This window comes from Homo sapiens, chromosome 11, assembly GCF_000001405.40.
Source record: "Homo sapiens chromosome 11, GRCh38.p14 Primary Assembly".
Classification (NCBI taxonomy): domain Eukaryota; kingdom Metazoa; phylum Chordata; class Mammalia; order Primates; family Hominidae; genus Homo; species Homo sapiens.
In genome coordinates, this window is record NC_000011.10 from 123,369,374 (window position 1) to 123,383,240 (window position 13,867).

Below are 13,867 nucleotides of genomic sequence, written 5' to 3' on the forward strand. Positions count from 1 at the left end.
AAATATAGAAAGAAGAGACAGCTAAGAGAAACTTGAGAACTCAGAAGGTAACAGAATCTAGCAAAAAATAAGAACAAATAAACAAAGGAAATGGAGGGATTAAATTTGTAGAAGGAAGAATGAAAGGGAACCAATATTCATGGTCCGCCAAGCACTGGGGCTAGGTATTTTACATTTATCAATTTATTTAATTTTTGTTAAAACCCTATAAAGTGTGGCCAGGCACGGTGGCTCATGCCTGCCATCCCAGCAATTTGGTTGGCCGAGGTGGGTGGATTGCTTGAGGCCAGGAGTTCGTGACCAGCCTGGGCAACATGGCAAAACCCCGTCTCTACTAAAAATACAAAAATTAGCTGGGTGTGCTGGTGTGCGCCAGTGTTCCCAGCTACTCAGGAGGTTGAGGTGGGATGATCCCTTGAGCCTGGGAGGCTGAGGTTGCAATGAACCGAGTTCCCGCCACTGCATTCCAGCCTGGGCACTCCAGCCTGGGCAACAGTGAGACCCTGTCTCAAAAAAAGGAAAAAGAAAAAAAAAATCTATAAGGGGAGAGAAGGAATGCCCCTTTCTTGGAGAAAATGGGAAAACAGCAAAGATGAGTTATGCTTTCAGAAGTGCAGATGTGAAGGACCCCTGGAAGTCACTTCAAGAGATAACTTCTTGGCCGGGCATGATGGCTCATGCCTGTGATTCTAGCACACTGGGGGGCTGAGGCAGGCAGATCACTTGATGTCAGGAGTTCGAGACCAGCCTGGCCAACATGGTGAAACCCTGTCTCTACTAAAAGTTCAAAAATTAGCTGGGGATGGTGATGCATGCCTGTAAGTCCTAGCTACTTGAGAGGCTGAGGTGGGAGAATCGCTTGAACCCAGGAGGTGGAGGTTGCACTGAGCCGAGATTGCGCCACTGCACTCCAGCCTGGGTGCCAGAGCGAGACTCCATCTAAAAAAAAAAAAGAAGTTATCTCTTTTTTTTTTTTTTTTTTTTTGAGACAGATTCTCACTCTGTCGCCCAGGCTGGAGTGCAGTGGTGCGATCTTGACTCACAGTAGTCTCTGCTTCCCAGGCTCAAGTGATTATCCCACCTCAGCCTCCTGAGTAGCTGGGACTACAGTCACATGCCACCACACCTGGCTAAGTTTTTGTATTTTTGCTAGAGACAGGGGTCTCATGTTGCCCAGGCTGGTCTCGAACTCCTGAGCTCAAGCAATTCGTCCACCTCAGCCTCCGAAAGTGCTGGGATTACAGGTGTGAGCCACTGCACCCGCCTTCAAGAGTTATCAAGAGATAAATTATATTTCCTCTCTGAAGAGAAGGTGAAGTCATCTTCTGAGAGTGAAATAGGGAGTGAGGTGGGAGTTCAGAAAGAATGGAAACGTTTTTGAAGAGTCAAAATTATTGACTGGGGACAAAGGAAAAGATTTCCATACAGTGTTCTGTTGGAGTTGGAAAGCATGCTCTATGTGGCATGATCGTCTCAATCTGCACCATACCCCATGAGCAGCGAGTTGGGGTCCTCTTTGGGTAGATGTTTTGGGAAGGCTGGCAGAATCACAAGGCGCTGAGCATGCTGGTGAGACCCAGGGGAGAGTAAAGCTAGAAGGTGCCTGAAACTGGGAGAACGATGAGATAGAAGAAGAGATTTAAGGGAGGAATTGAATGAGAAATGTCAATGGATTGCAGATTGAGATCTTGACAGATCTCAGAGGCACTTTAAGATTCTAGGCTGACACTGGAGAAAACGTGGCTTCAGCAGGATGCATGTCAGTGACCACCTACTTTAAACTGACGCTGGTCTTATTTACATGAACAAAATATGGAGCTGTTGAATTGTTGAGAGGGTGACTGAGAAAGGCTGTAAAAATCCAGGTTGGGTAATCCCCACCATCTTGGATTAGTTAGTGTGGGCCTCTCTGGAATCAGATAGGTCTCACGGCCTGTCTGCCAGGTCTTATGATTATGTACAGGAAAAGAGCCCAGCTAATAGGTGTTTTGAAAAGCTTCTAAAACCTATAATTGTGAGCCTTTTCTACCTTGGACTTTTGAAGGTTTAAACCACAGAATTTTTTTTTAAAGGTTGAGTTATTTTATGTCACAATGCCTTACAATAAATTTGTCTCTTCCAGAGGACAGTTCCTATCTCTCACTTTATGAACTTTTAGGCCCATGAAGTGAATTTTCTAGGCCATTCCCCATACCTCCACTCCAGCCAATTAATATCATGGTTTGCATTTTCATCCAATCATGCATATTCTGTGGGGTTGGTTCACCACACAGACACATGCTTTTTTACAAGTGTTGTCACCAGGTGCCAGGCATAGGATGAACCTGCTGAGGCAGACAAAGGATCTTTCTGTCATGCAGGGAAGAGCACCAGCACGTGAGAGCCCTGCCTCTCTGGCCCTTTCTGGCTTGTCTTGCTAGAGTTCTCCATGATTTGTCTATCCTTACTCTCTGTCCTTACCCCAGGCTCAGCCTCAAGCTCCCCCTGTATCTAGGTGTTGGATCATTTTAACATCTGCAGTTTGGTGGAGCTGCATGTCTCTGTTCTACATACAAATACCAAAAGAACACAGGTCTCTAGGTATCTGTGAACAACTGACATCATCCAAAAAGAGCTTTAAAAATCAGGGGAAAAAAAAAATCTCTGTTGTGTTTTATCTGCCTGTTGCTTTGATTACAGAGCACTGAAGCAAGGTTTTCAAATGTCCTTTCTTTGTCAACCTGTTATCCTGCCTTACAGGTGGTTCTGATTTCTTCCACTGTTATTACAGTAGGAGACTAAATGTAATTACCCAGCACTTCAATTTAGACGTCAAACACGATTATACAGAAAACAATCTGTTAGAGTGTCCCAATGATTCAGTTGTTACTTGGTTTTATGGTGAATTCTAGATAAGAAATACTAATAATTAGGATCTCAGTTGCCCTTTATGGCTTAACCTTTATATGTTCCTGGCCATTTAGGAACCTAGATTCATCTCATTTAAACTTCTACAGATGAAGAAAAAGAGACCAAGAAAATGGAAATCACTCATCCAGGTTCAGAAAACTGTCTGGGAGTAGGTTTGGGACTAGCACCCCCATCTCCTGATACAGAATTTAATGCTCTGCAGCTCTCTGGGGAGGAGCCCCACCCTCTAGTTGCTGGAGAAGGGGACTCAGAGGTGGTGTGGAATGGTGCTCTCATTTAGGGGACAGCTTGTGGGGCAACATGTAAAGTATTCTGGTTCTCCATTGGCCTTACAAGCAGAATATCTTGTAAAGTTTTTCATCAGTACCCACCAAATCTCTCCCCTCCTTCCCTCGTTTTCTGGTGGGTGTGTGTTTAAGGTGAAATAATTCGAGCAGGTAAATTTTGTTTTACCACCACACATTTTAATATCATATGCATATGAATAGCAAATAAAAATTAATCTCCTGATTATTTATAATATGTCACTCTCTGTTAACAGGCAGAGATTTGTGTTAATAATTGAGAGCTCTCTGGCTGGGTGCAGTGGCTCATGCCTGTAATCCCAGCACTTTGGAAGGCTGAGTTGGGTAGATCACTTGACGCCAGGAGATCAAGACCAACCTGGCCAACATGGCGAAAACCATCTCTACCAAAAATACAAAAATTAGCCAGGTGTGGTGGCACATACCTGTAATCCCAGCTCCTCAGGAGGCTGAGGCATGAGAATCGCTTAAGTCCAGGAGGCAGAGGTTGTGGTGAGCCGAGATCGTGCCACTGCAATCCAGCCTGGGCCACAGAGTGAGACTCTGTCTCAAAAAAATATATAAATAAATAAAATAATGATAATAATAATTGAGAGCTTTTTTTACCCTAAAATTTCACTGGTCTGTTATACAACAAAGAGGCTAAAACTGTGTTGAGCAGCAGTAAGGTTTACCTGGTCTTACAGCTGGAGGGTGTGGGGGTGTAGATGAGATTTAGATAGCACGGGCACTGGTTTTTCTGATGGCCAGTCAACTGTTACCTGGCTTCTGATCTACCAAGGTATGGCACAGACTCTCTGTGATCTGCCCAGAAGAGGAGACTGAATCAGTGCTATTAGAACTCTGGCGTTCCCTTTCAGAAAAGGTAGAAGTTCTCCCAAGTCACTGCTCAGGGCCTTGTCAGTCAGTTTGGTAGATTTGATGTTTATTGATGCAGAAACAGGGACCAAGGAAATGTCCCTAACTCTGGGATTTTTGTCACTTTGCAGAAAAGGCATAGTGGAAGAGGATAAAACATTCTTTGAAAGAAGGAAATCTCCAAGGTGTATGTATGTCTTACATACTTAGGTGGGAGAAGGTTATTTGACTATGAACAAGAAATTGAATAGGAACCAGTTAAATTGCTGTAAGAAAATTAAGGGAGTCCTCTAAGAAAGTGTCACCCCTCTGCCTCCCTAGAATAGGAGTTAATGAATTATTCTGTGAAACCCTAAACAAAATCAGATAGGCTTCCTTTGCTAGAGCTTGAGATCCCTTAGTTTAGCTATACAGCATGTGTGGTCATTTTGGAGGATTGTTTTCTATTTGCTAATTATTTGGCTCTCCAATTTTGCTTTCCCCAGGGAGAATCCCATCTGGATAAACTATCAGTTAACAGCCATGTAGTCATCCATGTTAATAGCTTTACTGAGTAGCTAGCTACTCAGACATGCTAGCCGTGTAGAGAAATGTGAGATGCGGTAGGTGTTTCAATATATCAATGGTACCTATGGTTTGATTATTTTCCTGGTCTGTTCAAATGCTATTAACTGCTTCCAAAATGTTATAAATGATGTGTTTGTAGTGTGGATTGTTTCTCTGTTATCTATATTAGTGTTTCTGTCTGTTCTTAAATCACTCATCAAATACTTTTGTGTTGTATCTGTTTCATTCTCCCCTGCCCCAGTCAAACTGAGCCTAGTATTATGAGGTAGGCCATTTTGCTGTTGAGTCTTGAAGACAAAGAATGGTAATGCAAAATAGACATTACTACTTATAGCCCCCTTCCTCTCTCATAATAAACCCTGTCTCTGTTGAACTTTTAACTGCAACCACAGTCCAGAGTTTCAAGGAGCCATCTCTCAAACATGGGTATCATTAAGGTCCAGAGATTTCTAACCACAGACTTACTATCTTTGGAATAAAAGCCTGAGAGCAGCCTAACTCACGTCTAATGCAGGAAGGGCAAGTTAAAAACAGCCTTGGCATCCTTGAGATCACTGACCCTACAGGCATTATAGCCTTCGAGTTTTATTTTGATAACAGCCTCCTAGTGTACTTGTCTGCTATTTGGTTAAATTGTTGCAAAGCAATAGACAGCGACCCTCTGCTTTTATTTCTAGCTCACTTCAGGGTAGGGCTAATGAGCTTTCACTCTGGGCTGAGTGCTTGGGTCATGCGGTGACAGATGTAGGAGAAGCAATCCTAGGAATGAGCTATATTAAAACATAATCTAAGACTCTGGTGCTGCGTTGCCATGAGGCAGGGGCAGTGTGGCGTCTGTCTTCCCCAATGTCACAAAAAGCAAAGTAGTCACAGAGTTTCAACAAAGCATGTTCATTTGACCTTGGCATTGATCCAGGTCTGATCTATTAACATATCGGAAGTAACATGATCTTTACCATCCTTATCATCATCGTCACTAACAATCTTTTACTTATTTTTTTACTAAAAATCTTTTATTGAAACTTTTACTATGTGCCAAACACTTTGCTAAGGATAGTATCTTCATGATCTCACTTAACTTACAACATTAATAAGTGAGTATTATTAATTTCCCAATTTTAGAGAGGAGGAAACTAAGATTAGGGAGACTAAAAGACTTCCTTAAGGTTATTTTTACTGGTTTGCAGATCTGGGGTTCAAATCTAGGTCTGATTTCAGAGCCCGAGCTTTTAACACAACTATGTCATATTAAACAAATAAATCAACCAGCGTGGTGGCTCACACCTGTTAATCCCAGCTACTCAGGAGGCTGAGGCAGAAGGATGCCTTGAGGCCAGGAGTTTGAGACCAGCCTGGGCAACATAGCAACATCTGGTTTCTATTAAATAAAAAAAAAAGAGAGAGAGACAAGCAAGCAAAGAAATCAGAAACTGTTTATCCGGCATCTCCTCTTTGTAAGATGCTATATTAGATTTGTGGGGTTGGGGTACAAAAAAGCATAAGTTACTTTCCATCCCCAAATGGCTTTAAGTGTTATTGGCCAAGAAGTCATTTAAAAGATAACTAGCAATGTACTAGATGCCAAGTATGTGGAGCATAGTAAATATTATATGAATAAAGAGGAAGTTTGGAGAAGGTGAGAGTCACACTGGGCCTTGAACACTGGGCAAGGTTTATATAGATGGAAAATAAATAAGAAACACATTTCACACCAGGGAGGTGATGTGAACAAATCCTAAGGATGAGGAAGTACAAGGCATGTCATGTTGTTGAAGGTTGGAGAATGATGGGAATGGGGTAGATGAAGAGTCAGTTATTCAGGAAAGAAGTTTTCGTGTACTCATCTATTTGGCCCTCAGATATTTACTGAGCGCCTGCTATCTAAAGTTGTTTCTGGGGGAAGAACAAGAGAGAAGGGTGAAAAGGTAGATTTTTTTTTTTCCAGAGTTGTCTGGCTGGCCTGCCTCATGCAAACATGTTGGGCATTGGCATTTGGTCAGCAGCCTCTTCTCTTAACTTCACAGTTACGCACACTTGGCTGGAGTATGTTCTGGCTCTGACCTTTCTTCCCTGGCCAATATGTCAGAAGGAAAGAGACCAGCTTTGGTATATCAATCTTACTGATTTATTTCTAAACTTGAAAAAAAAATCAAAGCAATATAGCAGTGTTAGAAAAATGTTTAAAAGAAATGGGCAATCACCCATAGTACTACCTTCTTAATATAACTAAGGTTTCTAATCTTTTCTAGTTTTTAGCATGGAAATAATGCCTTTTTTACATGCTTCTAATCAGATGGTGTGTACAGTTTTGCATCCTGCTTTATTTACAGTTAGAACTCATGAAAATGTGTTGAGTAAATGAACATTGATGCATAGTGTTTACGGGAACCAGGTGTACTGCCTCTTCTCCGTTGTTAATATAAATTGTTTTGAATGTTCTCTATTTTAATGGAGATGGGGTCAGTGAAGGTTTTCAGGCATCCTACTTTTAAGGTATGGCTTTTGAATTCTGATACAGACAATCGGAACTATCTTAGCATGGATTCAAGAGACTTGAGAATTGAAATCCTGATAGGCAGGAGCAAGATAAATATCACTCTAGTTCCATCTATCCCTAAGGAGAACCAGCTTAAGCGCAAAGACAATCTCTCATTTGCAAATATGGGCATGATTCCTTTTTTTGCTTTTAATTGCCCAAATCTTGCCCCTTTGTCCGGCATCTGGTCAAGGAACAGGGAAGTTCTCAGATAAGGGATGTGGGAGAACTGGGACCAAGTCCTTGGAATTTGAATTTTTCCTCCCACGGTGGTTGTCTGGGTTGCTGTTCTTGCCCACTCTGTGATCCAAGTAGTTGCTGAGTTCAGAATTGCCATGGGCTTTTGGAAACCTCAGTAACTGCTAGTTAACTAAAGTAACAGGTGTGAAATTAGTTCTGTGGTTCAGTTCTGCCAATCTTAAACCCATAAAAAGTACAGAGTTCTACGTGTATTAATCAGCAGTATCCTTCTCTCTCCCATCCATTTTCGCCTGCCTGAATAATCTCCAAGAACTACTCTAAAAGAACACAAGTATTGACTTTGACAAATTACACCTCCCTTTAAACATTCCTCTGCTCAGCTTCTGAATTCTTCTGACAGTCTAAAAAATAGATCCAATAAGACAATATTATTGCATTTCCTTTAGATTGATTTATCTTGGGAGCATCTCCTCTTTCTTGTCTGTACACCTGGCACTGAGATGGTAGCTGGCATAAAAATCCAAAGATAAATGCTTAAAAACATCAGCAACCAAATTAATTCAGGAATTTATCTCACTCATGTGAACTTAATGATCATTCTCATGTTTGATGAGATGTTCTGGGTGGATAAAGCATCAGAGCAAAGAGAGCAAAATGCGTGGTGGGTGCAGGAAAAAGGAAAGTTCCTTAGGAGAAACAGAGTTGAGCAGTCGCCAGAGTATAACTCAGTAGTAACATCACCAAGGAAGAGAAGGGGTCTGTGATGCACAGGAAGCCAGCGCCAGGCCTGGTGAATATCAAAAGCAGCAGATGGGGAGACAAGGAGGCCGGCTGGAAGGGAAAGGGTGGCTATTGTCCTGCTCTGTTTATCTGTTGCTTGCTTTTATTGAGCACCCAAGAGGACAAATCTCTGAACTAGACGTGCTCCCTGACCTCTTCCTGCAAGTAACATTCAGAAGAGCTGGAAGATAATATACACTTAGAAGGTCCAGTGGCTCTCCATTTGTTATTCTTCCAATGGAAGACCCTGAACTAGGAACTTGAGGAGAAAGATTAGCCATCTAAAGAAAAGACTTGCAAAAGATCTCAAACTCAAATGAAATGGATCGCCTTCCACCACCATGCGCTTCCAGCTGAAAAGTGGTCATGTGTGTGTATGGCAGTGGCTCTGCCACCTTCTATGTGGCTCCTTTGTGTTTTAGACTGAGTATGGAAAGGTGCTCAGCACACTCTGTCCTTTTTTCCCTGTTAGCATAGGTATATTTCTGTGTCCACAGGTACAAAGCCAAGGACCTATGTGTTCTAGTGGTCAGAACACTGGACTTGGTAATGGTTATCAAAGCTACTGTTTATTAAGCGTTTTCTCTGCACCAGGGAGGTAGTCGAAGGTGCTATCTTACTTCTGAAGATGCTGAGGCTTGAAGACATTGATTAACTTACCAAGACCGTGGAATTAGTAAGAGGAAGACCTGCATTGGCACCCAGGTTGATCTGACTTCAAAGCCTGCATTTTTTTTACTGCCTATGGCAATCTGTCTCCCAGAAACCAGAACAACTAGTTTAAATTCCCAGCTCTGCTACTCCCTAGCTGAATATTTCATGACTCTGGCCCTCAGTCTGTCAAATGGAAGGGTTGTGCTAGGTGTTTTCTAACATTCCTACTAGTTCTGAAGTCCAGTGCACTGTCTAAGGCTTTTATCAAATATATGATTTGCAAAACTTCTCTCCAATTCATCAGGTTGTCTTTTGCTTAGTTTTAAGCAGGACTTTCATGAGTATAATCTCAAGCAGTCTGGAATGTATGGGGAAATGGTAGGAGAAATTCTTTGATTACTATTTATTGAGTGCCTCCCCAAGGATATAGCAGAGACCAAAACTGTCATGGTTCGGCCTTTGAAAAACCAATGAAGCAGGGAAAACAGCCACTGAATATGTTACAAGGGTTGAGTGTTATGCAGAAAGATTACAGCATATGTAGGCCCTTCTGAGGGTAATTCATGTGAATCTGGTTCAGCCAGTTCAGTGAACATCTGCATGTATCCCAGACCAAGCAAGCAACAGTATTTATTTTATTTTCATTAATTTTTAAATTATTTTTCTGCTTAGAGTCTTCTCATGCACAAGAGCAATAGGATTTAACATCTAAATGTAACAGGTGTGACAGGCCACCTGTGTTCAGTCTTCTCTTGTTATTCTTTTCTTTTTTGAGGCTTCTTACATACCCCAGTTTTGATGGGAGTTGGCAGGGCATGTGGAGTTGTACAGTGTCAGTCTAAAGAGGAACAAGGGAAGATGGAGATAAGGAAGAAGTTAAAGTTAAATCAGGGGTTAAAGTTAGAGGGATGGAATGAGGTAAAAATAATGAGTTATACCTTAGGAATGTCTCCCAAATTCTCGCTTACTGCAGCAGGAAGCATAGGTTAGAAGGGAGAGAAGAAAAGAACCACAGATTCACAGTCTCTCTGATTTGAACGGGACCCAATAAGACATGTGGTCCAACCTCATCTAATTATTCAAATGGCATCTGCAACATCCCAGGAAGACTTTCAGTTTGAATGCTTTCGTTGACGGATGATGCCTACCTGACAAGGCAGGCCATTGGATTGTAGGGCAAGCTCAGGCTGTGAAGAGAGACACTGCTTTTTGTTGAGATATCTTAAAAAAAAAACAAACTTCTATCTTCTAGCTTTAATTCTGGCCTTCTGTGTTCTTTCACTTAATGTTTACAAAGTTCATCCATGTTTTAGCATTTATCATCACTTCATTCCTGTTTATTACCGAATAATATTTCATTGTATGGTTAATATCACATTTTATTTATCCAACCATCGGCTCATAGATATTTGGGTTGTTTTTACTTTTCAGCTATTATGAGTAATGCTCCTGTGAATATTAGTGCACACATTTTTGTGTGGACATGTTTTCATTTCTCTGGGATATACACCTGGAAGTGAAATTACTGGGTCATATAGTAACTGTATGTTAAACACTTTGAGTGACCGCCAGACTATTTTCCAAAGGACTGCACTATTTTACATTCAGTGTAAGTATATTGCATATATATGCGGGTTCTAACTTCTCCATCTCCTCGTCAGCACTTGTTATCATCTGTCTTTTATGTTATAACCATCCTAGTGGCCATGAAGTGCTATCTATTGTGGTTTTGATTTGTATTTCCCTGATGGCTCATGACGTTCAGTATTTTTAAATGTACTTATCGACCATTTGTATCTATTCTTTTGAGAAATGTTTATTTAGGTCCTTTCTCCAGCTTTAAAAAAATTATTTTGTTATTGAGTTATAGTTCTTTATATATTCTAGACACAAGTCTCTTGTCAAATATATGATTTGCAAAACTTTTCTCCAATTCATCAGGTTGTCTTTTCATTTATTGATGGTATCCTTTGAAACACGAAACCTTCTAATTTCGATGACGTCCAGTTCACTCACCCTTTATTGCTTGTCCTTTTGGTGTCATAGCTAAGAAACCACTGCCTAATCCAAGGTTACAAAGATTTATGCCAATGCTTCTGAGAGTTTTATAGTTTTAGCTCTTACATTTAGGTCTTTGATCCTCATGGTCTATTTTTAAAAAGCAAGTTGTATGACATTTAAAACTCAGATACTCAGTCCTCATTAAAACTTCATCTGAAATCAAGATTAGAGGAAAAAGAGTTTAGCAGAGTCCTTCCTTGCAAGTGACCCAAAAGGTTGCAGTTTTATAAGACAAAAATAGACTAGACATCTCCAGAGACTTTATTATGACTTTTATTAGGACTTTATTATGACTTTCATTAAGGCTTGGGTTTCGAGGTGTTCAAACCTGCAAATATGGGTGATAGACGGATGGACCCTTTGTAGTTGGCGTTAGGTGATAAAGAGAATAGGAGGCTGCTGCCCACCGCCGTTTCAACACGGCCAGCAGCTCTGCTCTCTGCCTCCTGTCCTGTGTCCTTCCTCCTTTGGATCTCTTGGCCTGAGATCCTTTCAGATGGTGATTTTTGGTCCCCTTTTGTCCACGTAGTTGCTTACACATGCTAGTGCACCCCCACAGCCTCATGTCTGCCTGTCCACCCCATCTCCCTCCTCATTCTGGGACTGGAGACAGTTTGGTTTTTTTATGTATCAGGATAATGACCACCTCTTTTTCTTCCCATATGAGCTCCCACTCCCTTCTTCTCTACGTACCTTCCTTGGAGCTAATTCACACATACCTCAGGGTGCTTCTTATTTTTCATGTTTTTTTTCTCTTCCTATAGATAGAACTCATAAGGTTTCCATGGAAACCCCTGATCAGAGGTAGGGGATTCTTGAATAGAGGTGAGATACACAAGCTTTGCTCATTTCTGAGGGGCTCTGGGAGTGTCTCCCTCACTCCTCCGCCAACTCCCTCTCCAACTCTTCCTGGGTCAGCTCTTGGGTCTGTCTCTATAAGATGCTTCAGGAGCCCCCAGAACTTTGTCTTAGGATAGAACAGATGGTGGTGACGATGGCCCTGAGAGTCCGGGCTCTAGGAAGAGGCTGCTGCTGGGTGGGTTGTTTGGCATCTGCAGAAAACCTGAAATCTGGTGTGTTTCCCAGGAAAAGGGAAGTGCTTAATGGCAATCCAATTCTCCCTATTGCGTCATGAGACAAGTCCTGGTTAGGAGAGCTGGGTCCCAAATTACCAGCATTGTCTTCCTCTTATTAGACAGAGATGGAAAGGCCTTCTGGAGGTAAAGGCATGGCTGTGATAATCACCGGAAGGCCTTCCCATCTCTGGTTGAGATTCTTGTATGCCCGGTCTTTATATGAATGGCAGGTCTTAGGCATGCATATAAGCAAATTAACATGCTGGAACTGGAAGGGATTCAGAGTCGAGGTTCTAATATATAGGTTGAAGGTTCCTGGAGGACTGCAGAGTTACAGCAAAGGCTCTAAGAGGCCATGTGTGCACTGAATGCTGCCTGGGGAACAAATACATCAACGTGGTCACCATCTCTTGGAACTATGCTATTTTTTTAAATGATAAAAATTAATCCCATACTTGAAAAAATTGCAAACTACTGATTTGTTGTAGACCTATTACCTTGCAAATGAAGTAAACAGGGGCTCAGACAGCAAGAGTGAGGTGGCGACTAGCCTGAAGTCAGCCAGCTAGGACCGGAGGCTTGGGGTGGGGTAAGTGTTAGTGGCAGCACCTACTGCTCTGTTTACCCACACTGTGGAAAGTGCTATACTGGGAAAAGGAGGCCTCCTCTGACCAGCAAGTGCCTACTCCTGCAGCTCAGAGCCTGAGAAAGAAACTACACATTAAAAGTGAAACTGAGGTGGTTTCATCTTCCCAGAATAAATGAATGATATCAGTAGAAAAGCTAGGGGATTTTTCTGGGGATTGGGGGGAAGGGAGTTCAAGGAAGCAGCAGTTCTGAGGATACTGATTTCATTCATTATCTTTTTGAAAAATAAATTAATATTTTAAATTAGGTTCCTAATCACAGAGTGTGAATCATAACAGAAGGATTGGGTGGCCTCCCTTTCAAGACCAGCGCTGGGAAGAGCTTTGAACCTGAGCCTAACTGTGGATTTAGATCTGGTGCACTTCTCCCCACTTCTGTACCTAGGCCAGTCAAATCCAGAACTTGTTTTTTTTAGGGGATTTCAGAGGAGTTGAGAACACGAAGGTCCATAATTAAGCATCATTGATTTTTAAATTATTTTGGCTCTGAGGTTTAAACTGGCATTGAACTCTCAGGTTCAGTTTAGAACTCTCTTATATTGTGAAAACTGCCTCAGTGTTTCCATTCTGAAGACCTTGCAGTTGCTTGATTTGCATATAGGAGTGTGATATTTAAGTGTGTGGGAAAGTGGATGAATGTGGGTGACTATGTTATGCGTTTGTGAAAAAGCATCCAGGAATATAGGTGATCATGTGGCTTGTCAGGACTTGGCAGGATGCAGATGGCACACTCGGATAGGGTAATGGGGGGCGTTTAAGAAAGGGACTCTCTTTAAAGGTGTGGGTAAAGTTAAGGGATATCAGCAAAGGATAAATGGAGCAAAGGATAAATGAGGCAAGAGAGGTCACCTGACCTGAGCTGTGGCCTTGGGTGCAGAGATGCAGTCAATCCACAGGAAAGTAGCAAGGGAGAAGCTGAGGGACAAGCCCCTGTCCCAATTCTCCTCTTGCCCTCCTGTATCCAGCCAGTGCCTCCCTTGGCAGGACCCAACCAGAAGCCAGAAGGCAAGAGAACTGGTTACACTTCTCAGAAGGGCCAGCCTCCTGGGTCACAGAGCAAGATGGGGCTGTGGGGCTGTGTAGCAAGATGGGGGGATCTACTCTACACATGCAGAGTGGATCCAGAGTTGAATGTGTAATGGTAGGTCGGGTAAAATCTTACTGTGAGAACACTCAGGCATTAACTGGGGCTGACCTGGACTTGAATTTAAAGAGTGCTTCCTACTTCAGAGTCTTGCTCTCTCTCTCTCTCTCTCTCTCTCTCTCTCATTT

At 42.1% G+C, this 13,867-nt stretch overlaps 1 protein-coding gene and 1 non-coding gene across 9 annotated transcripts in view, besides 4 other annotated features; one reads left to right on the forward strand and one right to left on the reverse strand.

Annotated features, from left to right (window-relative positions):
- Positions 1–13,867, forward strand: part of GRAMD1B (GRAM domain containing 1B) — a 269,346-nt gene that overhangs the window by 10,952 nt on the left and 244,527 nt on the right. The gene's annotated exons all lie outside the window — the stretch shown is intronic.
- Positions 2,204–2,263: an enhancer, noted in NCBI's record as "active region_5678". NCBI's record gives its function as "activates an Ori minimal core promoter by ATAC-STARR-seq in GM12878 lymphoblastoid cells {active_cell/tissue: GM12878}" and the evidence as "EXISTENCE:reporter gene assay evidence [ECO:0000049][PMID:35858748]".
- Positions 7,968–8,262: a silencer, noted in NCBI's record as "tiled region #995; HepG2 Repressive non-DNase unmatched - State 23:Low, and K562 Repressive non-DNase unmatched - State 24:Quies". NCBI's record gives its function as "represses a minimal TATA promoter and a strong SV40 promoter by Sharpr-MPRA in HepG2 and K562 cells {active_cell/tissue: HepG2 | K562}" and the evidence as "EXISTENCE:reporter gene assay evidence [ECO:0000049][PMID:27701403]".
- On the reverse strand, positions 12,067–12,139 carry MIR4493 (microRNA 4493). The gene has a single exon (NR_039714.1). It is a non-coding gene; the product is annotated as a microRNA 4493 (primary transcript).
- Positions 12,725–12,804: an enhancer, noted in NCBI's record as "active region_5679". NCBI's record gives its function as "activates an Ori minimal core promoter by ATAC-STARR-seq in GM12878 lymphoblastoid cells {active_cell/tissue: GM12878}" and the evidence as "EXISTENCE:reporter gene assay evidence [ECO:0000049][PMID:35858748]".
- Positions 12,965–13,044: an enhancer, noted in NCBI's record as "active region_5680". NCBI's record gives its function as "activates an Ori minimal core promoter by ATAC-STARR-seq in GM12878 lymphoblastoid cells {active_cell/tissue: GM12878}" and the evidence as "EXISTENCE:reporter gene assay evidence [ECO:0000049][PMID:35858748]".